At 41.7% G+C, this 26200-nt stretch overlaps 1 protein-coding gene and 1 pseudogene across 27 annotated transcripts in view; both read left to right on the top strand.

Moving 5' to 3' along the window:
* Positions 1–26200, top strand: part of PDE8B (phosphodiesterase 8B) — a 341542-nt gene that overhangs the window by 202683 nt on the left and 112659 nt on the right. For 14 of the 27 annotated variants that reach the window (NM_001414622.1, NM_001414623.1, NM_001376062.1 and 11 more), the window contains one exon: positions 22597–22656. The exons of 3 other annotated variants lie outside the window; for them this stretch is intronic. In NM_001414622.1, the coding sequence (NP_001401551.1) occupies positions 22630–22656 (27 nt within the window). In that variant the 5' untranslated portion in view covers positions 22597–22629. Of the gene's footprint in view, positions 1–9402; positions 9466–22596; positions 22657–26200 lie in introns of all 27 variants that reach the window. 10 more of the 27 variants (NM_001349752.3, NM_001376071.1, NM_001349753.2 and 7 more) reach the window with 3 other exon arrangements.
* ALDH7A1P1 (aldehyde dehydrogenase 7 family member A1 pseudogene 1) lies at positions 787–2600 on the top strand (annotated as a pseudogene).

Consider the following 26200-nt stretch of genomic DNA (forward strand, 5'->3'; position numbering starts at 1 on the left):
ATTAGATACTGGGAATAAAGCTGACCAGAAGTAAATCATTTCCCACATCTTATCTTTGTAAGGCCTGAAAATGTGATATTCCACGCTGTTTTTGAAGAGAAAGCATTTTGGTGGTTACCAGGAGGAAAGAATGGGGCAGGTTGGAAGTGTCACTGGTCTGGCAGCCTGGAGACCTCAATTTTATCCCATTGTGACCTCTCACTTATGTGCGACCTTGGACACATCACATACAATTTAGGCCTTATTTGGCAATATGTAAAATGAAAAGGTTGGACAAGATACCCCTTGGGAGCCTTACAATTCTCAAATTTTTGGAAAACTATCCTTTACTGTGAGGCCAGTGTCTGGAACAGCATTTTGTAATATGAATGAGGACTTAAAGCAATTTTTTATTTCCTGTGATCTTGTGGGAAGAGGGTGGGTAAAGTTAGATAATCTAGAAGTTGACATTTGTGTTTTCATGTAAGCAAGTCAAATGTTCTGGACTACATTTTGTTTCAAGCTAAAGAGCTTATGCTGTGATGACCCAGCTTATTAAGTTAGATAACAAATGTAAGGCACCTATTTCATTTCCTTATCACTGTGGGGCTCAGTAAGGAGTTTCCAAAAGAATGAATGAGAGATTATCATCATAATATCTATCACTTATCAACTGCCTGCTGTGCCAAGATACATCCGTGAGTAATACAGATTTGGCATCTGTCCTCTCCAAGGGGTAAGTATTATTACCCCTAGTTCCACGTGTGGAAAATGAATTCCAATCTGGTCTTACATTAAAAACCATTGATGTGGCGCCTGCCTCGCGCACTGTGTGTGCACGCTGCAAAGACCAGCAAGCTCCTTGGACCTTGGAGCAGGCCTGCTGCCTTCATGTCCACTCTCCTCATCAATCAGCCCCAGTATGCATGGCTGAAAGAGGTGGGGCTCCGAGAGGAAAATGAGGGCGTGTATAATGGAAGCTGGGGAGGCCGGGGAGAGGTTATTATGACCTGTTGCTCTGCTAACAACTAGCCAATAGCAAGAGTCCGACAGGCCAGTGTGGCAGACTATGAAGAAACTGTAAAGAAAGCAACAGAAGCATGGAAAATCTGGGCAGATATTCCTGCTCCAAAACGAGGAGAAATAGTAAGACAGATTGACGATGCCTTGTGGGAGAAGATCCAAGTACTAGGAAGCTTGGTGTCTTTGGAGATGGGGAAAATCTTAGTGGAAGGTGTGGGTGAAGTTCAGGAGTATGTGGATATCTGTGACTATGCTGTTGGTTTATCAAGGATGATTGGAGGACCTATCTTGCCTTCTGAAAGACCTGGCCATGCACTGATTGAGCAGTGGAATCCTGTAGGCCTGGTTGGAATCATCACGGCATTCAATTTCCCTGTGGCAGTGTATGGTTGGAACAACGCCATTGTCATGATCTGTGGAAATGTCTGCCTCTGGAAAGGAGCTCCAACCACTTCCCTCATTAGTGTGGCTGTCACAAAGATAATAGCCAAGGTTCTGGAGGACAACAAGCTGCTTGGTGCAATTTGTTCCTTGACTTGTGGTGGAGCAGATACCGGCACAGCAATGGCCAAAGATGAACGAGTGAACCTGCTGTCCTTCACCGGGAGCACTCAGGTGGGAAAACAGATGGCCCTGATGGTGCAGGAGAGGTTTGGGAGAAGTTTGTTGGAACTTGGAGGAAACAGTACCATTATTGCCTTTGAAGATGCAGACCTCAGCTTAGTTGTTCCATCAGCTCTCTTCACTGCTGTGGGAATAGCTGGCCAGAGGTGTACCACTGCGAGGCGACTGTTTGTACATGAAAGCATCCATCATGAGGTTGTAAACAGACTTAAAAAGGCCTACGCACAGATCCGAGTTGGGAACCCATGGGACCCTAATGTTCTCTATGGGCCACTCCACACCAAGCAGGCAGTGAGCATGTTTCTTGGAGCAGCGGAAGAAGCAAAGAAAGAAGGTAGCACAGTGGTCTATGGGGGCAAGGTTATGGATCGCCCTGGAAATTATGTAGAACCGACAATTGTGACAGGTCTTGCCCACGATGCATCCATTGCACACACAGAGACTTTTGCTCCGATTCTGTATGTCTTTAAATTCAAGAATGAAGAAGAGGTCTTTGCATGGAATACTGAAGTAAAACAGAGACTTTCAAGTAGCAACTTTACCAAAGATCTGGGCAGAATCTTTCGCTGGCTTGGACCTAAAGGATCAGACTGTGGCACTGTAAATGTCAACATTCCAACAAGTGGGGCTGAGATTGGAGGTGCCTTTGGAGGAGAAAAGCACACTGGTGGTGGCAGGGAATCTGGCAGTGATGCCTGGAAACAGTACATGAGAAGGTCTACTTGTACTATCAACTACAGTAAAGACTTTCCTCTGGCCCAAGGAATCAAGTTTCAGTAAAGGTGTTTTAGATGAACATCCCTTAATTTGAGGTGTTCGGCAGCTGTTTTTGAAGAAGACAAAGAAAATTAAAGTTTTCCTTGAATAAATGCATTATTATGACTGTGACAGTGACTAATCCCCCTATGACCCCAAAGCCCTGATTAAATCAAAAGACTCCTTTTTTAAAAATCAAAATAAAATTGTTACAACATTAAAAAAAAAAAAAACCATTTACCACTTAGCAACATTGGCAGCTTTAGTTCTCCAGCAGCCTACATACATTTTGTGCTAAGGAGCAAAGTAATCTTCCATTTACCAAGAGCTTTTTTTGCTTTTTAATGATGTATTAAATTAAACACCCACTCACCAAATATCTGTGAGTGTTGGTTGCGCAGATGGATTTGAGTGTTTGGTGCTGGGGTGCATCTTGTCACAGCTGATCACTTACTGGTTCTCTGACTGTGGCTGGGTGGAGTTGGCATCTGTCTCCTAGGTTCCTCCTGCCCCCAACAGTTTGTGGTTATGGTGATAAAATTATTGTGTGACAAATATCATGGCAGACATATAAACAGAGGAAAGGGGACAGCAATTGAAAGAGTATCAAACACACTTTAAGGTTCTAACTGTTTCAGTTACCAAGGCTCAGGAAGGCGTATGTTGTGTGTTAAGGGATCCAGAGTCACTCAGACAGTGTTCCTCTCCCTCTAGCAGGGTATGAAACTACTAATGGCCCCAGACCCTCATCATCACTGTGAAATTCACTGTAAAATCTTTGGAATTTTGATGAGTCAAAAGTGGAATCTGGTTATTTTGATTTGCATTTTTGGATTGCCAGAGAGGCTGAGCATTGCTGCCTGGTTTTACAGCCCATTTGTGTATTTGTTTTGAGCATTGCTTGTCCTTTTCTTGACCCTTTTTAATTGGGATGTTCGCCTGTTTTATTATTGTCTTAGTAGAGATTCAAAAAACTCTAATAAGGATGCCAATCCCTTTACTATCATATATTACTAATATTTTTTCTCAGTTTTGTATTTAAATATTTATTATGCTTTTTAATATGTTTTTCTTACTAAAAACCTAACAATCTTTTCTTGGTTTATGTCTTTGATGTTATTTTTAACAAAAGGCTTCCGGGCCCTTGAATGCTGGAAATGTTCACTTAAATTGTTTTTCAATATTCTCATGGGATTTTTTTTCTCATTTAAAATTTTAATCTATCTGGAAGTAATTTGGGTATATGTCATGATGCATAGAGCTGACTTAATTTTTCTCCATATAGTTAACCAGTTATCTCAATATTATTATTGAATTATCCATTACTTTCTCACTGATATAAAATGACATTTTTATTACATAATAAATCACATATATCGCTTTATATATATGTATAGATATGTGTAAAATTGGGTCAGTTCTAGATTTTATCTTTTTGTTGATCTCTCTGCTGGAAGCATACTATTTTGATAGTTGTATCTTTGAAGTATTATTGTCACAACTGGCAGAGCAAAATACTTGTAACTCTTCACAGTTTTATTAGCCAGTGGCTGGAATTTATTCCTCTATATGGATTTGAGAATCATTTCACAAGTTTAAAAAGTTGTGCCAGTGTATTTATAGCAATTAGTATATAGGTTAATTTGAGAGAGACTTAGCATTTTTTTAGTACTGGTTTTCCACCCAGGAAAACAGCATCTCATTCCATTTATTTCAGTCATATTTTCTGACACTCAGATAGTCTGAGTGTGCGATATGATGTGTTAAGGCACAGGTTCTGGAGTCAGAGAGTCTCAGTTCAAATCCAAGTCTAGCCATTTATTAGCTTGTATATCAGTGAAAGGTTTTCCCCAGTGAGTGGGACATAGTGTTGCTCAGTAAACATTTGTTGAAGAAATGTTTGAATGAAATAATTTATTCCTAAATTTTTTGTTTTTGCAGTTGTGAATGAGTTTTAGTCTGCATGCTTGCCAGCAATTAACATTGTCAGTTTTTTAGATTTTAGCCCTTCTACTAGGTGTGTTTTAATTAGTAATTCCCTGGTGACAAATGATGGCAAGCATCTTCTTTGGTGAGGTGTCTGTTCAGATCTTTTGTCCATTTGTTAATTGGGTGTTTGTTTTCTTAATGTTGAGTTTTCAATGTTCTTTGTGTATGTTGGATATAAGTCCGGTATCACATTTATGTTTGAAAATATTCTCTCCTCATATGTGGTTTGTGTTTTTATTCTTCCCACAGCTTATTTTGAAAGCAGAAGTTTTTAATGTTAATATAATCCAATTTACTATTTTTTTCTTTCATGGATCCTGCTCTGTAGTATAATTTTAAGCCCCTTATATCAACTCATAAAAACAGACAGGGCAATAATGTAAATTGACAGAGCACACAGTCCATAAGCAGCATCTTTCATAAAACTAAGGATTAGAGTATATGTCTATAAACTAAAAAATATGAGCAGTTAGGGCCAAACCACTGACCGTAACAAGGAAGTCTGCAGGAGGAAGCAGCTGGCAGACAAACAGACTTCTGGGGATCCCAGGGCTGGGGACCCAGAAACTTCTCTCAACACTTGTCCCAAGAAGGGGACAGTCCCCCAGGAGTGGAGGGCTTGCTGTTGATGTGAACACATTCGCTTAAAGTGGAGGGGGCTTCCCAGGCTCCAGTTGGCAAACAGTAAGGACAAATGAGAAAAGTATGCCCACAAAGCAGAAGAGAAACTGCAACCTAATATTTCAAATGAGCTAAAAGAAATTAAGAAAATGATTAAAAGTTACAAAAGAACAGGACGAATGCAAATTAAAAAAAACACAGGTTACATCATTAGACAACAGAAAAATATGAAAGGGAATTGATTACTCAGAAAAGAAATAGAAATAAAAGCAAAAAAAAATCTAGGAAAGGAAGGTCGAACTGGAAGAAATATAAGAGTGAATAAACAGTGCAGAAAGCACTGTATAGAAATTGGAAAGGAAGAAGAAAAACACAGAAATAAAGAAGACAAGAAACTATTTGAGAAGTGATAGAATGCAAGACAGGCAAAGGAGCTCCACAAATATATGATGATTCATTATATAATATATATATGATATATATAATATATATTATATCTATCTAGATAGGTCCACATATATAATACATATACATATATAACTCCTCTATATAATAGGAGCCTCTGAAGAGAAAAAACCAAACCCCGTTGTGTACTGGGAAAATCAATCCAAAAGGACAACATCAATGCATATTCTAGTAACATAATTGCACTATAAAGGAAAAAAGTCTTTTGGGGCATCTAGGCAAAAAGACCAAGTCGTTTATAAGGAAAAGAAATCAGATTGGCATCAGAACCTGAGAGCAATGCTTTAAGCCAGGAAATACTGGAGAAGATATGTTAAAGATAATCTAGAAAAGAAAAAGTGAGCCAATTATTCTACATTCAGCCAAACTGGACCCTCAAATATAAGAACCACAGACAAAACTGTGCGAACATGCCAGACCTCGGGGAATGAATTTCCCATTAACCCTTCTTGAGGAACCTTCTGACAATTACTGTGACTGGAGAAACTTTAGCATAAGGACTGGTGGTTGACACGTGAGACTTTGGGGTACGTTAGCTTCTGGTGAGACCCCTGGCTTTCTCAGAATTCCATAAGTGTTCTTGATCCAAAGACAGCTGTAAAAAGTGGTTCTATGATCCCTTGGTTGGAATACCATTTCTCCTCTGCTCAGGTGTTGGCTTTGACTCCAGTCATTTGGCTTGTGATTATTTCATATCCCTCCTTTTAAGAAGCCACACACCAATGCACCTGTAGCTTGTGTGGCCAATTGCCCACCCAAAGGATACATATCATCAGATCTCTCTAATATCAACAAGGGGAAGTCATTTGTTTCCATTGAGATTCTTTCTGTTTAAACACAGGAGAGCTCATTCAACCTTATTTAATAAGGAGAAAAAAGCCAATTAATTGGCTCACCTAACTGAAAAATCCAGAGTTAGATATGGCTTTGGGCAAGTCTTGATCTGGTAATTTGGAAGTGTTACAAAGGATCTTGTTTCTTTCCATTTCTCCACTCTGCTTTCCATGGTGTTGCTTTCGTTCTCACATGGTGTCAAGATGTTACGAGAAACAACCTCACTACACATTTCTTTTTGATAAACAGTGAGAATATTTATTAAAAGTAGAATAGCTTTTTCCCAGCATTGCTAGCAAAATCCTGGGATAAACTGAGTGGACTAGCCCAAGTCAAATGACTACCCCTAACCAATTGCTGTAGCAGTCCAAGTCACGTGACTACTCCTAACCAATTGCTATAGCCAGGAAAATGAAATGCTTAGTTATGGTTACCTGTCCTCCTCTTCTTCCTCCTCCTCCTCTTCTTCATCATCTTCTTCTTTTTTCTTCTTTTTTTCTTCTTTCTCTCCCTCCTTTTCCTCCTCATCTTCCTTCTCTTCGTTTTCCTCTTCTTCTTTCTCTCCTTCTCCTTCTTCTTCTTTCTTCTTTCTTCTTCTTGTTTCACTCTGTCACCCAGGCTGGAGTGCAGTGGTATAAACATGGCTCACTGCAGCCTCAACTTCCTGGGCTCAAGCAATTCTCCCACCTCAGCCTCCTGAGTAGCTGGGACTACAGATATACACCACCGTGCCTGGCTAATCTTTTTTACTTTTGGTAGAAATAGTGTCTCACCATGTTACCTAGGCTGGTCTTGAACTCTTGGCTCCCCAAAAGCTGGGATTATAAGTGTGAGCCACCGCTCCCAGCCCACATGTCTTTAGAACCAAACAGAGATTTCCAAACAGAAGTCAGTGACTCCTGGAAGGAGAAAGGAAGGAATGGACTGGGGAGGCTATCTAAAAAAGAATTTTTAAACGTGTTGAATTTTATCAAAGTGCTATCTTGACATTTCTTGAGATGATCATATATTGACTCTTATTGATTGTGGTGAGTTATGTAAATAGATACTCTAAGTTAGGGAAGGCAACCTACTTAGCTGTGCTCTGTGGGAGTAACTGAGGTTCTGGGAGAATCTGCTTGTTTCCCCTTTTCTTCTCTTTTTCCTTCTTCCAGCTCTTATGTGTACTTCTCTGCCTCTCCTCAACCCTCTGATACTGGTGTTCTCCAGAGTTCTGTCTTTGGTCTTCTGCTGTGAGTGATGGCAAGGTTTTAACTGCCTTTCCTGTATGCTGGTGTCACTCTCCCTGAGCTTCATACTTACATATCCCAGAGCCTGACTTTGCATTTTGAAAGGACTAGAGACATCTCAAACTCAGTACAAAGGCAGGGGCCTTTGTACTGTGTCATCTCATGGAGAAGGTAGAAAGGGCAAGTGAGTGTGGGAGACAGAACAAAGAAAGCAAGCGGAATTCATCCTTTTATCAAGAGCCCTCTCCTGTGATAACTAACCCACTCTCAAGATAACAGCATTAATCCATTCCTGAGGGCAGAGCCCCATGACCTAATCACGTCTTAAAGATCCCACCTCTTAATATAGTCAAAATGGCGACTAAATTTCAACATGAATTTTGGAGGGGAAATTCAAATCATAGCACCCCTCACCACTACTCCTAGTGTAGACACTCATCATCTTTTGTCAACACCAGTAGTTCCCAAACTTTAGCAAGCATCACATTCATCTGGAAGGCCAGTCATTACACACTGGGCCCACCCCTAGAGTTTCTGATTCAATAGATCTCGGATGGGGCCTGAATGTTTCCCCTTCTAATAAGTTCCATGTGATGCTGATGCTGCTGGTTCAGGGACCACACCTTGAGAACCACGGGGATCATTGCAGGAACTCCTTTCTGATCTCTGTTCCTCCCTTAGTCTATGCACATTTCAACCAGAGTGATCCAGCCAACTACAATCCAGCTATGCTACACCTTTGTCCACCTAGCAAAGCCCAGGCTTCTCACCACAGCAGCCTTCTGTGACCTGGCTCCTTCCTCCCTCTCTAGCCACATGGTCTGTTCCACATTGCCTGGGACTGTTCACACAAACTCTGTTCTTTGCCATCCTTGTGCCATTCCATCTGCCAAAAATGCTCCTTCCATCGGTCTTCACTTGGCTCATTCTCACTGATCCTTCAACATTGATCTCCAGTGTGGTTTCCTGGAAATTTGCCTGAATCCCCAGATTGAGCTAAGTTGCCCTTAGGTTTCTCTGGCTTCATGGTCATCTCACTCCCACTCTGCTCCCCACTCCTGTCTTCAGACTGTGGGCTTTTTGAAGGCGTGAACACTCAGTCTTGCTTATCTTTTTTGGCTTATTTTCTGTGTAGTATCTGGCACATAATAGATGCTTGATGAAAGTTTGTGGATCTAAACTAAATATTGGTGCTACTCTTGAGTATAACTATCTCCCCTCAGGGGCCCTGCCACCCATATGCTAGTACCTGCCTCCCATCATAAGGAAACAGTGCCTTTTAGGCATTGCTGAAAAGTATAGGGTCTGGACCTCCTGATACTGGGACTTGTTACCCTTTAGACATCATTTCAATCTTCATATATCTTCCTCCTGTGGTTAGACTTAAATTGAGGGCTGTGGGCTCAGCCACAGAACATCATGGCCTCTGTTACCCTAAGTTTCTTCCTGTTCTTGAAATTGTGACGGTTTGGAAAGAGATGGGGAGAATATTGTTACCCACGTGACAGGCTGCAGCAACCTTGACCACTAAGGTCAAATAAGCAGCATTGATGAATTTTAGCATGTGGGCACCCCTGGAGGGGGCGAGGCAAGTCTTTCTGTTACAAAGATGCAGATTTCAGTGCAACTGAAGGCAGAACTTTCTAATGAGAGTATAAAGTTGTCCACTGGTTGTTTAGAAAGAGGCTGGACTTACACCAGTAGAACTCCAAGTCCACATAGACCCGCCATTTGGTTCACCAGACACCATTCCCAGGGCTGTATTTTAGCCATCTGACTGTCCAGGGATCCCCGGGAATCCTTATGTGTGATGATGGGGCTTTAGAGACTTTGAACTAAAATGCCAAGGCCTCAGCTCCGTGAATTGGTCTTCTTCCTTTAGATTGGTGCTTCTCAAACCTCTTCAAATCTGAGGGTGAAGAAAGTGGATGCCTACCTCCACCAGGTAAAGTGATCTGCTGCAAGCATTAGATTTTTGTGAAATTTCATTCTTTAGCTTAAAAATTCATGTGAACTTTGCATTATACTCTGGTTTTCTCAACTAAGATAAAAATATTTTGAAGGACTTTGTAGTTAAATCACTAAACTTGTTTCATCTTGACATAAAAATGGATGCTCCACTAGGATGCACTTGTAGCTTTGTATGTCTCCTGGCCCTATCTCTGCACCATCACCATTTCTAAAGCATTGCCTGTCTTACACAAAGGCCCCAAGGCCCGTAAGAAATAGTAATGATTTTAAACAGGATTCCAGGAGAGTGGAGCCCATGAATCTGCATTGTTGCTTACAGAATTACAGCAAGATTGGGAACATGAGAGTTGTTTTTTTGTTTGTTTGTTTGTTTGTTTGTTTTATTTTATTATTATTATTATACTTTAAGTTTTAGGGTACATGTGCACAATGTGCAGGTTTGTTACATACGTATACATGTGCCATGTTGGTGTGCTGCACCCATTAACTCGTCATTTAGCATTAGGTATATCTCCTAATGCTATCCCTCCCCCCTCCCCCCACCCCACAACAGTCCCCGGAGTGTGATGTTCCCCTTCCTGTGTCCATGTGTTCTTGTTGTTCAGTTCCCACCTATGAGTGAGAACATGCGGTATTTGGTTTTTTGTCCTTGCGATAGTTTGCTGAGAATGATGGTTTCCAGTTTCATCCATGTCCCTACAAAGGACATGAACTCTTCATTTTTTATGGCTGCATAGTATTCCATGGTGTATATATGCCACATTTTCTTAATCCAGTCTATCGTTGTTGGACATTTGGGTTGGTTCCAAGTCTTTGCTATTGTGAATAGTGCCACAATAAACATACGTGTGCATGTGTCTTTACAGCAGCATGATTTACAATCCTTTGGGTATATACCCAGTAATGGGGTGGCTGGGTCAAATGGTATTTCTAGTTCTAGATCCCTGAGGAATCGCCACACTGACTTCCACAATGGTTGAACTAGTTTACAGTCCCACCAACAGTGTAAAAGTGGAACATGAGAGTTGTAACTGAAAAGCTTGTGAGGCAGTCTTCTAAGATCAGGGGCTCCCATGTATGCAGTGGAGTAGGCCAGAATTGCTCCCAGTGCCTGATCAAAGACACATGAAGCCATGTTCTGTGATGCTAGACCGTGGTCAGAGAACCCTGGTGCTGGGCATAGAGTACCCAGTGTTCTGCAGTGTAGGCATTTTAATGCCTTGAGCACTGAAGGTGAGAACCTGAGGCTCATCAAAATGAGCAAGTAGGCAGAGCTTTAGAGTTTTAGAGCAAGAATACAAGGGAGCCCCTTGTTCTCATTCCTCTCTTAGACGAGAATACGTTACTCAGCCTGTTCTGTAGCCAAGAGAAGAGGATGATGTCAGTGGATCCAAGATAGCCTGTGAGTTTGAACCGTTTTTTAAAAGAAATATACTTTGATTGAACACAAAATGGTCTTTTAGGACTTACTTAACCCTTTGCTGTGCTTTGGGCATTTTCTGTTTTCTATTCCACCAATGGACACAGAACTGTACCCCTTTCATACTCTCTAGGGTTTGGGGAGATGGGAGGGGGAATTACCATGGGAGCCCATCTTCAGCTTAGTCACCTGCCTGTAAACAGACTGCTTCCTTTCATTGCTGCTGCGGTGCTTACCTCTCTAAATCTTCAAAAATAATACAAGGAAGAAATATAGTTCCTTGGGTGTTGCCTCGTTGGCTTTTGATGTAAAACATAGTGGCCCCAGAGGGTCAAGGTGCAGTGGGGATTGTCTTCCATGTGTGTTAGCAAAGAGGAGGGGCCAAGGGCTGGGCCTAAGGCCTTGGGGACCTTCCCAGGAGAAGCTTTGCCGGTCTCAGGCTTCTGGTGTCTTTGCTAAGCTTCTGAAAATGTTGAGGTTTTAATTGTGTAGTGTTTCACTCAGGTTGTATGTCATTAGGATGTTAATGGTGCTTTTTATCAATAACTGCTTGGAAATCATGATTGTTCTTGCCACATAAGTGAAATTCCTTTTCAAAAAAGTGGGCATTTGCATTTTGTGGCTGACTTTGCATGGGCTACTTACTTTTAAATGGGATTCATTTCAGTGAGATTGGTTTTTAAATGGGAATTAGTGCCCGACAAGGATTCATTACCCCTGGGGCCATCTAATCTTTGGACTTGGTGACTGAAGGTCATGGTTCATCCCAGCATGAGTGGTCCTGACACACCAGAGTCGGGAAAGTGAGTGTGGTTGGATTCTTGATGGGGTACCAGCTGTGGCTAAAAATCCAGGTGCTTCAGGGTCACAGGTCCCTAATGGGAGATTCCCATGGAGACAAGCAGGGAAGACATTTCACTCTTGGTCCTCTAAGGCAGTTCTAGCTTATCAATGATAAAATTGAGGACAGAGGCAGCATGTATAATTGAAATCCACAGGAAATCTCTAAAACTCATTTTTAGCAGGTGGTTTCTGTTTCTTTGCCCATCAAATCTATTTACCAGAACTGCTGACCATGTAGCAAAATTTACTGATTTGAATATCATCCCTCCCCACTTTCTCCCAACTTCATGTAATGTTCAGGAGAAGGGAAGGCATCAGAGGCATGCAGGAGGATGGAGGTGGATCAGAAATGAGTGCTTGGGTTTTTCCACAGTCTGGATAATTGCCTCCTGAATAATCAGAGCTAGACTGTTCTTTGCTTGTTCTCTATTACACAATGTAATTTTACATGCTTGAAGTCATCCGGCAGTGTCTATTATCAGTGGTATCTCTAATAAAAGGAAGGAAGTCAGTTGAGGGATGTCACGTTTTGACCATTGCCTTTAAATTCCTGTGTTCTCCCAGTCAGACCCTGCATGATCTTTGGGATCTTGGAATGGAGCTGTGTTTACACACACTCAGCCTAGTCATTTGTGGCTGAATTATTACATTATGAAAGCTTGATGCCTTGATTCCTGCACTGCATGTACGACAGAAAGAATTTTGACATAATCATAGCATCGAACTGCAGTTTGGGGTTTTTTTTGTTTTGTTTTGTTTTGTTTTCCTCCTCTGAAGTTAAATCTCTCTAAGGCTTCCTTGTGCTGGCCTCCTTTGGGTACTTGTCATTTTGTGGATTATATTCTAGACCATTTTTTTCTTTCCATTTTAATGCATAATCGACATCAGGCTGAGTTTTTTTCTCATGACTGTAGATGACATGACTATGTTGTATAAATAATTTCTCTTTAATCTGATATTTGTCAGGGGGAAATGGCTTCTCCATTATACTGTGCCAGCCAAGTTTTCTGTGTTTAGATCTGATGGCATCTGCATGACTTCTGTGTTTATTTTTCTCATTACGACTTCAGAGTTAGCAAGACGATGGCCTCTTTATCTTTTCTCACTGCCATATTTTCCAGGCACAGTGGGATGTAGCATCCCCCCTCCACTGGCACAGCAAAGCTCTCTGAGTCTAGTAGTAGCACTTCTTAAGAAAGACCAGTGACAGTGGGGAAGGAAGGAGAGGGCATGGGTAGGGGGCAGTGTAAGATGCTGTGCTGGAAAGCACATCACTGTGTCTAGTGCATGGGGGGAGGTTGACGGTACTGCCTCCTTCTTTGCAGCCTGACCTCACTGTCTGGGTGGCCCACTGCAGCGGGAGCGGGTGCCTTGTGCCAAACGTTGTGCACACCGACTTCCCTACCTGCTTCCTCTTTCCATGCTCATTGTTTCTCAGCCAGATCTTTCACATCTTATTTATAAGTCATTTAAAAACCCTCACCTCATTTAAAGTCTCTTTGTACACCATCTTAAGGCCTTTCTGGAACAGTCTGAGATATAAGTAAATACACAAATAAGAGCATGGCCTTCCCAGTGAGGCAGACCTGGGCTTAAATCTCAGCTTCATCCTCTCGGGTAAGTGGCTTAACCTTTCTGCAGCATAACCTCTTAAGCCATAGAAAGGGGCCCAGGATGCCCTGTGGGATTGCTGTGACCTTTACGTGAGATGATGTACGTGGGGAATTCATCAGCCCCTTTTGTCTTATTGAGGCACAGTGCAGTTACTCATCTTGAGCAAGGTCCCCTGAGTCCCAGCCCAATTTTCTAGAATTTTATTTTACCAAGTTTCAGAGAAACCCCATCTATATTCTGAGGAATTTTAAATACAACACCTTATTCTACCAAATAAAGACTTTACTGGAAAAATAAAAAGCATGTGTAGAATATTTATGTAGTGGCTAATGCTCCATTAATGTTAACACCAAAATAGGAAATAGACTTTCCCAATAAAATTAAACCTAATTTCCATTTATTTGGAAATATCTACATATACAAGAAGATAGAAAGTTTAATTCAGTAAACACCCATGTACTCACTATTTACTGCTTAAAAAAATAGGTCATACGCTGAGTGTGGTGCCTCATGCCTGTAATCCCAGCACTTCGGGAGGCCAAGGTGGATGGATTGCCTGAGCTCAGGAATTCAAGACCAGCCTGGGCAACACGGTGAAACCCCGTCTCTACTAAAATACAAAAAATTAGCAGGGCGTAGAGAATTTTTGTGTTCCCTACTAAAATACAAAAAATTAGCCTGTAATCCCAGCTACTTGGGAGGCTGAGACAAAAGAATCACTTGAACCTGGGAGGTGGAGGTTGCAGTGAGCCGAGATCACTCCACTGCATTCTAGCCTGGGCAACAGAGCAAGACTCCATCTCAAAATAAATAAATAAATAAATAAATAAATAAATAGGTCATTCACAATATAGTTGAAGCCCCGGCACTTCTCTCCCTGAATTCATCGTCCCCTCCACCAGCAGGACCACTTGCCTCAATTGGGAGTTTGTCAGCATTTCTTTGTACTGTTATAATATATTCCTAAAGTCTATTCAGTATTGTTTTAAGTATTTGTAAACTTCAAGTGGTATCCTAAGGTATGCATCATTCTAAAACTTGCAATTTTTTGTTTTGTTGTTTAACTCAATGTTTGTAAGATTCATAAGTTTTAAATGAGTAACTCTAGTTGTTTCATTTTTACTGTTGTATAATATTCTATTGTATGGCTAGTCCTTGATACATATATCAGTTTCTTCTGGTGATATTAATAGACTATGGATTCAGTTTTCTAAATTTTTGTTACAAACAATACTGCTCTGAATATTCTTGTAAATGCCTCCTATACACCCTAGAGATACACTCATATAGGAGGCTGAATTGTCAGATATATACTTCTTCGTCTTCACTAGATATCCCCAAACTGTTTTTCAAAGTTGCTAAACCAGTTTACATGCCCACCAACAATGTATAAGAGTTTCTGAGGGGCCACTTTCTTGCCTATGCTAGATAATGTTTGACTCTTAATTCTGCCATTCTGTTGATAAAAATAGTTGGATGTAAGATAGTATCTCATTGTAATTTAAAATTTTTATCTTCCTGATTACTAATGATGATGAGCATCTCTTCATACTTATATTTCCTCTCCTGTAAATTTCTTTTTCAAATCATTTCCCCGGCTTTGTTTTTGGCTGTCTTCTTACTGATGTTTAAAAAAATTTTGTTTTATGTTCTGGTTACTAGTATTTTTGGGTTTTTATGTTTTAGATTTCATCTCTCCAGCTCTGGGCCTTTTTCTCTTTTATTACAGTGCTCTTTGCTTTTTTTTGTTTTGTTTTTGGTGAATAGAAGCTATAATTTTAAAGTCAAAGTGATTAATCTTTTATTTCATGGTTGTATATTTTGATGAGTAGACATTTGTATGTTTATGTGATAAAACATCATGCTGCCAAATTAATGTACTATTCTAAATAGTAGGGCATAAAACATAAAAGTAATGAAATATGTCACTGGCTGTGAGTATCTTGTAACCATGAGTAATCGTCCATCTATATTATATAACAGAAAAACTATGAAAGAGATTTTTGATTGATTTTGATTGTAACGTAGGGATATTGTTTGGGGGGGATAATTCACCAAATATAAAAGACTTTATCTTCCTCATGCCAACATTATAATCTTGTGTTTTTCGTGGAGCTATCTGGAAAAAACCAGTGGAGGTATCTGGAAATGAACACAGATAGCTGTCAATGTCTGGGTCCAGGCATGATAGCTGAGTCTTGGGTGGGTGTTGTTACCTTCCACGAGGTAAGTGTTCCACCGGTGTTTGTTGAGTAAATGGATATGTAATAGAGTCTGCAGGAGGGGCCATTAAAGAAGCAGGAATTGAAGTTAGCAACAGACAAGTCTGCTCAAAAGAATAGACTAGTGGTTCTCAACCCTGGCTAAACCCAAGGAGATAAAAAGTTGAAGACACTTGGGCCCCATTCTTAGAGATTTTAGAGATTCCAGTTATCTTGGTGTCAAATAGGACCCAGGCATTGATATATTTTTAAAGTTCCCCAGGTACTTCTAATATGAAGCCCAGGTTGAGAACTTCTAGACCAGAGGATTGGAAGCAGGAAGGAGAAGGGAAGCTCATGGGCTGCCCAGTGAGCTCTTGGGCCCTGAAAGGTCCAGGGTATCAGAGTTGCCAGGAGGTGCTGGAGGGCAGCCAGACCACAGCCAGGTAAGGCTGGAGGCTGGAGTGAGGGCAGCGCCAGCCAGCAGGGCCCACAACTGAGAGGGGACAGAAGGAAGAGAGTGTTCTGGGTGTGCTAAGCACAGTTGGCAGGGGAGAGAGGGTGGGATGGGACAGAGTTTCCCAGCATAGAGCAGGGAGGCCCAGCCTCACAGTGGGATCACCTAGAGGCTGCAGGGCCAGTCCCTTTCTGACTGGAAGCCAGAGGACAGACAGGGGCCCATTAAAAAGGCAAAAGGCAGACACAACCTTTGTTTACCCAGAGCTCAGACGAATAAAGAACTAAGTTTGGCCTGAGAATGGAGGGTGGACAGGGCACATATTGAGATCATTAAATGCTATTTTTAAATCAGAGCCAACAGGGCAGCAGACAGAGTTGATGAAGAGCATTTAAAAGTGCCTATTTCTGTGCCCACAGCTGGTGTCTTTTCAGTGTGAAATGATCTTCACCGTGGACCCGTCACAAAGTGCAAGTCAAGCTTGCCTTAAGCTGTGTGTGTGCGAACACTCAGTACTGTAGATGGTGGGAAGGAAGGGATTCTAAAGGAGAAGTCATTGAAGTGGGGAAGATTCAGACTCTGAGTTTTGGAACTCAGACATTCCACCCCCACCTGGACACACACGCACATGCACACGCATGCATACCCTTTTTCTTCTTGGTGCTGGGCCAGCCCTGTTAACAGACTACCAGGCACAAGCAGGGATCGCCAGGCACTGCATCATCTGTTTTGCAGAGTCTGAATGGAGTCCAGAAGCCATACCAGAAAGATGAGTGCTGCAGAATTAATGCTTCCAATTTTGGAGCATAATGGAAGAGCAGTGCACTGGGAGTTAGGAAGAATGAAGTCTCAATCTTCACTCTGTTACTTAAAAGCTGTCTGTTCTTTTCAGTTTAATTCAATTCCACAAAGCATTTACTGAGCATCTTGTAGATGCTGGGGATAAAATTGTGAAAAAGACAGAGACTATGTCCTCAAGAAACTCACAGTCTTGCCAAGGAGTGAGATATTTAAATGAGTAACAAAATCAGTGCTATGAATACAGGAGTACTGAGGAGAGAAATCACTGGTTCTTCTTTGGGTGAAGTTGGACTTGAACCATTGTCAGAGGGCAAGGGCGTTGGAGCAGGCCCTTGAAGGATGCGTTAGCTGCTGAGGCAGGAAAGGGCTTTCCAGGTCAACTGCTTTCCTTCCTGAATCCTTAGCTTCCCTCTTGTCTGAGGAAGGCTCTAAAACTCGATGCCAAGTTACTTAACAAAATTCCTGAAGCTGAAACTATTAAGAGCTGCAGCAATCACCTCTAGAGAATGTGGTGGCGTGACAGGTGAATTAACCAACCTGAACTACCTTGATTTCTCTCGTGAGTTTGCCTCTTCCATCTGCCTACCCTGCACCAGCTGGGTTGTATCGTGGAGTTCCCTTTCTATTGAAGTGAAGCCAAGCTGAGTTTTTTTCTTGATCATTGCAGTGTATTTTCCCACTTGCTTTCATTGCTGTAGTTCCTACTCATAGTGGTGTTTTTGTTTAGTTTTTGCTAAATCTCTGTTCTTGGTTGTTCAGAAAGTGGGCAAGCCAATGTTTGATTTTCCCAAGTCACAGATCTTATTACGTTAATCCTTTGCTCAAACACCTGCAATGTGATTGGTGCTTAGAGATTAAAAAAGAGAGCTCCTTCCTGTGTCCTCTGAGGATCTGACCCCAGCCTTCCCAGTCGACCCTTTCTCACACTGCAATCCAGCTCTCTGGACACTTGTTTTCTCCCCACCAGCACCTTCGCTTTCCTGCCTCCATGCCTGTGCCTGTGCTGTTCCCTATGCCTAGAATCTCCTTCCCCAACCCAGTATCTTCGTCCCCCTATTCTTCACCACCTGCCTGCCTTCATGAAGCCTTCCTTGATCTCCCCACCTCCCAAACCAGAAGTATTACCTCCTCTTTCTCAACTTCAAAGTGGGAGAGAAAATGTCTCTCAACCAGAATTCTATATTCAGCCAAACTTCAAGCAAAAGTGAGTGATAGACGTTTACAGATCAACAAAGACTGAGTGACTTTGCCATAGACCTTCTCTGAATGAAATGATGTATTCCTAATTTTGCAGTCATGGACCCATGTTGCCAGCTTGAGATCAACAATGGTATTTATACCACGGAAGTCAACAAATGCTACAAAATAGTACTTGTGTTTTTTTTTTCATGTGAAAGTGGATTGGTGACCCTGCTTCCATGTATATATGTGTGTATGTTACCATTCACACATGTACACACAAATATTTGACACACTACGAATGTTATACAGCACAGTTAAAACTACGCTGTAGTTCAGCAGTCCTTCCTCATTAGGCTACTGTGGAAACACATGTGGCTAGGAAGTGTGTCTCTCTTCACACTCTGGTCCCACCCTCCCCTCTTCTCAGGTGTTGGAATTATGTTACCTATGCCCCCACCCCTGCATTTGTTTCTCTGACCCTGGCAAACTTGGCCACTTCCTGGAATCAGAGCTAATACACTAATTGAAGAGTCTGTGCATCTGCAGTTGCTCAAAGTTCATTCTTTGAAGTAGAGAATCTTGGCCTGGCTACACAGATGTCAGTAAATTATCTCCTGTTTCTGTTCATAGTTGCTGTTTTATAAATTGGTGAAATGCAGGCAGTTAGACGCCTGTGTCAGAAGCAGAACTCTGCAAACTGCCGTCTGTGAATACACCTGCTACAGGTTTTTTCCTGCTGGTCACTACCTAGTGCCAGCCCTCAGAGTCAGCAAGAACAAGTTCCAGTGTTCTTTTGGGACAGTTGACCTCTTTTGGACACAGAAGCCAAGGCCAGATGACTTGGAGCACAGACCAAGAAGGAAAAGGCAGGCCAAGAGACACAAAGCAAAGTGTGGGTCAGGACTAGAGGAGCTGGTAAACTGAGGCACCCACGCCGGTAGTGCAGGTAGAGTGACAACACGTGGGAGGGAGCACAGTGAAGTGAGGCTGGGAGGAGAGAGGCAAAGGATGCAAAGGATGGTAGAGATACGAGAGGCAGGGGTTTGGAGAATGTCCCTTAGCAGCAACTTTACAGCCCCACTTCCGGGCTCTGCTGTCCTCCCACGAGCTCACAGCATGCCTTCCTGCTGGGTAGGTCAGACAGGAGTTAGAATACTGGATGGCAGGCAGAGAACTGTTGTGGCTATGAGAGAAAGTCGTAGGGTCTTTCCTGCCTTTAGGAAGAAAAATGATATATCTTCTAGCTTGAAAGTTGCTTTTAAAACTCCATGCTGTGACACAGTGGCCATTGCCTGTCTGCCCCTAGGATTACAGGTGTGAATGCGCCTGGCACAATGCCTGGGTCAGAGGGACTTAAGGAATGTTCACAGTCATCAGATATTCTCCTGGTAGAGTCAAAAGTCGCCTGCCCTTCCCCGCCAGCCCACCATGTAAGGTTAGCTGTATCAACACTTCATGCACATATTGATTATTTGGAAAAGTATACAGGCAACTGGGCACAATGGCTCATGCCTGTAATCCCAGCACTTTAGGAGGCCGAGGCGGGCAGATCACCCGAGGTCAGGAGTTTGAAACCACCCTGGCCAACATGGCGAAACCCCATCTCTACTAAAAATACAAAAATTAGCTGTAAGTGGTGGTGGGTGCCTGTAATCCCAGCCACTTGGGAGGCTGAGGCAGGAAAATCACTTGAACCCAGGAGATGGAGGTTGTAGTGAGCCAAGAAGGCACCACTGCACTCCAGCCTGGGCGACAGAGTGAAACTCTGTCAGAAAGAAAGAAAGAAAGAAAAAGAAAGAAAGGAAGGAAGGGAGGGAGGGAGGGGAGGGAGGGGTGGGGAGGGGAAGGAGAGGAAAGAGAGAGAAAGAAAGAGAGAAAGAAAAGTATACAGGCAAGGTATTGGTTAGGGGTGAATTATTATTTTTTGGACAGCCTGTGCCCTTCTTGCAGGAATCCTTCCCTATCTCTTGGCCTTCCAATGCGAGTCACTTTTTATTTTATTCCTTTTAAGCTTCTATTTATGATTTCATTCATTGCTTTATTTTCTGCCACTGAGTGACTCTTTTAGGAGCCTAATTTTGCTGGAGAAATCATTCACAGGTGGTCTTGTTGGAGGGGGCTTTTGTGTGTGGTGGAGGCAGTGAACTCAAGAGAGATCACAGGGCAAGCGAAAAGGTACCCTGGCTTATCAAATTTATCTTAGTATATACTAAATTGGTTTCACTTTTTTTTTTTCAGAGTCTCACTCTGCTGCCCAGGCTGAAGTGTAGTGGTGTGATCTTGGCTCACTGCAGCCTCCACCTCCCGAGTTCAAGCCATTCTCCTGCCTCAGCCTCCCAAGTATCTGGGATTACAGGCGCCCAACACCATGCCTGGCTAATTTTTGTATTTTGAGTAGAAATGGGGTTTCACCATGTTGGCCAGGCTGGTCTCAAACTCCTGGCCTCAAGTGATCCACCTGCCTCGGCCTCCGAAAATGCTGGGATTACAGGCATGAGCCACCATGCCCAACTGGTTTCCCTTTTTAATCATTAATCTTTTTTTTTTTTTTTTTTTTTTTGAGATGGAGTTTTGCTCTTGTTGCCCAGGCTGGAGCGCAATGGCACGGTTTCGGCTTACTGCAACCTCTGCCTCCCAGGTTCAAGCGATTCTCCTGCCTCAGCCTCCCAAGCAGCTGGGATTACAGGCGCCCGCCACCATGCCCAGCTAATTTTTTGTATTTTTAGTAGAGATGGGGTTTCACCATGTTGGCTAGGCTGGTTTTGAACTCCTGACTTCAGGTGATCTGCCCACCTCGGCCTCCCAAAGTGCTGGGATTACAGGCGAGAGCCACCGCATCTGGCCCAATCATTAACTTTTTAATCAGCGTTCTGGCAGTTGCACTGCTTTGGAAAGAGGGTGTCTATTTCAATAACAAAAACTGGCTTGGGAGTGGAGCTGGGTGAAGGGCTGGCAGCCCAGTGACGCAGCAGGTTCTGGTGCTGGTCCTCTCCCAGTAGAGTTGCTCTTGGGGCTGTGCCCCTAGGCTACTGGTGTCAGCACCCACACCTTGCAGGATACTGACTTACTTAGACAAAAGAAGAGTAAGAGAAGTCCACACTCAACATGAGCCTGTCACTTTGACCTGAACACAGCAGTGAAACACTGAAGGAACTTGTTCACAGGCTCAGGGACTCAAAGCCTCCAGTTGGTTTTCATTGTGCCAGGCCTGCTGAGTGGACCCATGGTTGAGGAGGCTGCCTCCCCAAGAGGAGCAGAACAGGCATCCTTGCCCTCCTGAGAACCCCCCACAGAGGGCCAGGAACCTCAGATGAGCAGTCATTAGAGGGCTCTTTGAGTTTTCTGCTGGCTGGTTTGGTGAGAGGCCCAAGCGCCCTGCATGAGTTCTTTACACTGCTGTGTTGGGGTGGGGTAGGAGAATCAGGCCTACAGAGGAGAAGAAGACTGGTGCTTTGGAGAGTGTTCATAGCACCAGCACTAAGAGTTAAGCTTGGGGAAAGGAGAAGAAAGGAGAAAGGGAAATTATTATGGTCTTGCAAAGTATAATGTAAAGAAAGTTTGCTTTTCTTGTTTGTTTTTTGTAACTGAAAAGGCTCCCATGGCCCTTGGGTCACTGCAAGTGTCTCTGGTTGTGTAAATGCTGCTGCGTGCTGAAGGCGCTCCTTCAGACTGACAAGGGGCCAGTACAGAGTGTGGAATGCAGGATAAGCTTCCAATAGTGACAAATGACCACAGTCTCTTAGAGAAAAACAAAATTGGATCCATGGAGGTGAGGTCAAGACCGTCAACCAAATTAGTCTAGAGAATAGTCACTTTTAGAAATCTCAGTAAAGTAATTAAAAATAAAGACAAATATTTGCTTTATGCTTGCTACCATCTAACTGCTTGCCAAAGGCAGCCAGATGGTGTTGGCCAGTGAACACTGAAGAGCCCTATGCTCACTCCTGGAGTTGTGGGGCAGAGACAAGCCTCTCGTGGTCATCATGGTGTGGTGTTGCTCAGTTTATTTGTGGAACTACAACTAAGATGAATAATTTATCCATGGTAAATGTGAGTAAGACTAAGCTGTTTGACCCTCATAGTAAAACATGAAGATAAGAAAACCAAGATCTAAATATAGGAAAGGCTCTTAAACCATACATGTGATTTAGCCTCAAGATTTGAGAGAAATGTTTATTCTCTTTTGAAATTTCAGAATAATAATGGCCTCAGCATGATGCCCAGCACATAGTAGGTGCTCAATAAATAATTATTGAATTGAATTCTTTTCTTCCATAAAATAGTACATGCTTATTATAAAAATCCAGACACTTCTAGTAAAAATGACTCAAAGTCCAACCACTTAGCATTTGGGGATGTATCCTTAAAGACATTTCCAATGCATATAAATGGATACTTTTTTTTTAATACAAAAACAGGACTGTGCTATACATATACATCATGCTTGGTAACCCATCTCCAGTTCAGTAAGCTGGATTCTTCAATTTAGTGCACACGGTGGCATAATGCAATGCGTTGCGTAAGGAAGGATGTATCCATTTGTGTAGTTTAAGACTTGACGCTTCTCTTGTGCTGTCCTTTATTTAGCAGGTGTCTTCTGCGGAGGTGCGCATCGGGCCCATGAGACTGACGCAGGACCCTATTCAGGTACGCCTCCTTTACTCAGCCCTGTGACTCAGATTATTTTCTTTTTTTTTTCTTTTTTTTTTTTTTTTGAGATGGAGCCTCCTTCTGTTGCCCAGGCTGGAGTGTAGAGGCTCAGTCTCGGCTCACTGCAACCTCTGCCTCCTGGGTTCAAGCGATTCTCCCACCTCAGCTACCCAAGTAGCTGGGATTACAGGTGTGCGCCACCATGCCTGGCTAATTTTTGTATTTTTAATAGTGATGGGGTTTCACCATGTTGGCCAGACTGGTCTCAAACTCCTGACCTCAGGTGACCTGCCTGCCTCGGCCTCCCAGAGTGCTGGGATTACAGGCGTGAACCACTGTGCCCGGCCTGGCTCAAATTGTTTTCTTGAAGACCTAAACATTTCCCCATTTTGAGTATAAATATGATGGACAGATTGCATGGTGGATTGTGAGAAAGAACAGCTCTTCCACCCCAAAACTAGTCTGCTCCACATCCTACTGTAGCCAGAAAGGGAAGAAGCAATGAAATGGTGAAGGGCTGGGCTTTGCCATGAGTCACAACTGGGTGGGAATCTTGGCTCTGCCTTTAATCAGCTGTGTGACCTTGCATATATTGCTTCACTCCTCTGACCCAGTGTCCTGTCTGCAAAATGGAGATGATTATGCCTCGGGAAATTGTAAGTTAAATGAGATAGCATAGGATGCCTAGAACTTTCTCTGGCAGTTACCATTAATGATAGCAGTTGCTGTTGTGTGGGAATAGAAGATGATAAAATGCTCCCCTACATCTTCTATGTGACTTAAGCCAAGCAGCCTACTGGGCTCTGTAACACAGCAGGAACTTGTGTCCAAGGATACAAGGCCCAACCACCTGTAGGACTGACTTCACTCTAATAATGGCAGCAACTATGTCCTCCTTGCAGCCCTTCCAGGTTCCCGTGCCCCCTTAAGAGAAACATGTATGAAGAGGGAGTTTGTACCCTTTTAAATAATTTCTAAATCCTTATCTGCATATAAGCCATCCTGTTAGGCCTAAATAAGTTAACTTCTTCCTTGTAAAAACTGTAGCTTATTAGCACCTGGAATCTTGCCCTGTACTTGGGACAAGTAAAGATGCAGAAAAGATGTAAACAAGTCAACCAACATATAGATGAAAGTGAAAAACCAAGCAAGGAAATGTGCTATTTGATTTATGAGCAAATGGAAAAAGAAAATAGTGTTTTATAGTTGCTTGGAAAAAGAAATGCAAATCTAGGAAAGGAAAAAAAAAAAGGAAGAGATTAGCTTGGGAAAATTTGATGAAAACAAATTTAGGAACAGAGAGAGAGAGAAAAATAAACACCAGCCACAACTATTTGTATAGAATACAAACAAATGGAAAATTTCAGTAATCATTCTGAGCCATGCCCTTTGTACTCCAATTTTGAATAAAGGCAATAACAAATAAAGGCATTGATATCAAGGACTTATTCCCAAAGCAATTTCCAGAATACTTTTTGGGATTAGTGTGGTTTTAGATCAATTTCATTTACCTTCATTTTTGTCCTATGCTACACTGGCAATTAATGCTCATAAGGATGTCTCATTCTTTTAAAAATGTAAGTTGTCAAATGTTAAAATATTTCAAATATTCATAAAGGTGCATGTGTGTACCAACACCCACTTCTATCAAATATTAATGATATGTCTTATTTGTTTCAGAGTTTTCTCAGAAACAAAAGATTGTGGATACTGTTTAAGCCCTTTATTTATCCCTTTGCTACCCCTTTCTTTCCTCTCTGAAAGCAACCACTATGATACATATTTGTATACTCACTCTTCGTATGTATGTGTCCATTCATAATATGTACACTTGTTTTGAATACTTTTTAGCTCTCTTTGAAAGGTGTTGTGCTATACACATCGTTCTTCATTCATCAGTTGGTGTCATATCTAAGAATTCATTGCCTAATCTAAGGTTGTAAACATTTACTTCTTTGTTTTCTTCTAAGAGTTTTATAGTTTTAGATCTTACATTTAGCTCTATGATCCATTTTGGGTTAATTTTTGTTTATGGTGTGAGGTAGGGGCTTTATTTTTATCTAGTTGTCTTAGCAGCATTTGTTAAAAAATACTCTTCTCCATTGAATTGTCTTGGCATCTTTGTCGAAAATCAGTCATAAATGTGAGGATTTACTTTTGGACTCTCAGTTCTATTCCATTGATTTATATGTCTGTCCTTATCCAGTACCACACTGTCTCGATTAGTGTAATTTTGTAGTAAGTTTTGAAGTTGTGAAGTGTAAGTCCTCCAACTTAGTCTCATTTTTCAAGATTATTTTGGCTTTCTGTGTCCCTTGCATCTTTGTATGAATTTTAGGACCATTTTGTCAATTTCTGTGGGGGCTTCGGGGAGCTAGCTGGGATTTTGATAGGGATTGCAATGAATCTATAGACCAATTTCAGGAGTATTACTATGTTAACAATTTTGTTTTCCAGTCTATGACCATGAAATATCTTTCTATTTTGCAGGATCTTGTATCCTGCAAGCTTGCTGAACTCATGTATTAGTTTTTTGTGAATATAGAAATTCCTATAATCCTAAGCATTATGTATTATAGGATTAAATTCCTTAGGATTTTCTATGTACAAGATCATGGCCCAGTCTAGATGCTTTTTTTTCTTCTCTTGCCGAATTGCCCTAGCTAAAACCTCCAGAACAATGGTGTGTTTAGCTTTTTAAGATACTTCTAGACCTTTCCTCAAAGTACAATTTTACACTCTTACCAGCAATATGAGATTTCTGGTTACTCTAAATCCTTGATAATATTTGATGTTGTGAGTCTTTTAAATTTTAGCTATTCTGGTGGATGAGTAGTATTATCATGATTTAAATTTGCATTTCTCCATGACTAATGATGAGCACTTTTTTATTTGTTTATTGGCCATTCCTCTATTTTCTTTTGTGAAGCGTTTGGTCAAGTCTTCTCCTCATTTTTTAATTGGGTTAATTTTTAAAAGTTATTGAGTTGTATGAGTTCTTTATATATTCTTGTTATGACTCCTTTGTCAGATTCTGAGAACATTTTCTCTCAATCCGTGGCTCTTTTATTCATTTTCATAACTCTGGCTTTTGAACAATAATTTTTCATTTTGAAGAAATCTTTCACTTTTTAAAAATGGTTATTGCTTTCTGTGCTTTAAAAATCTTTACTCCCAGGTCAAGAAGATAATTTGTTGTTTTCTTCTAGAGACTTTATTGTTTTAACTTTTAATTTTAGATCTGTAATCTACCTCAAGTTAGTTTTTGTGTGCAGTGTGATATGGGTGTCAAGGCTGATCCCCCCACCCCACCATATTAATGTCTGATTGTTTCCAGCTCCACTTATTACAAAGACTATTCTTCCCCATTGAATTGCTTTGAGGCCTTTGCTACTGATTTTTTTTATATTTGTTGCAGCTTGTTTGGTGGCCAGGTATGTAGTCAGTTTTTAGATTAATACTCCACAAAAAGTGATAAAAAGATGTATTCTCTATTTGTTGGACAGAGGGTCCTATTTACATGAATTACTTCAATTTCATT

The sequence above is a fragment of the Homo sapiens genome, chromosome 5 (genome assembly GCF_000001405.40).
Source record: "Homo sapiens chromosome 5, GRCh38.p14 Primary Assembly".
NCBI lineage: Eukaryota > Metazoa > Chordata > Mammalia > Primates > Hominidae > Homo > Homo sapiens.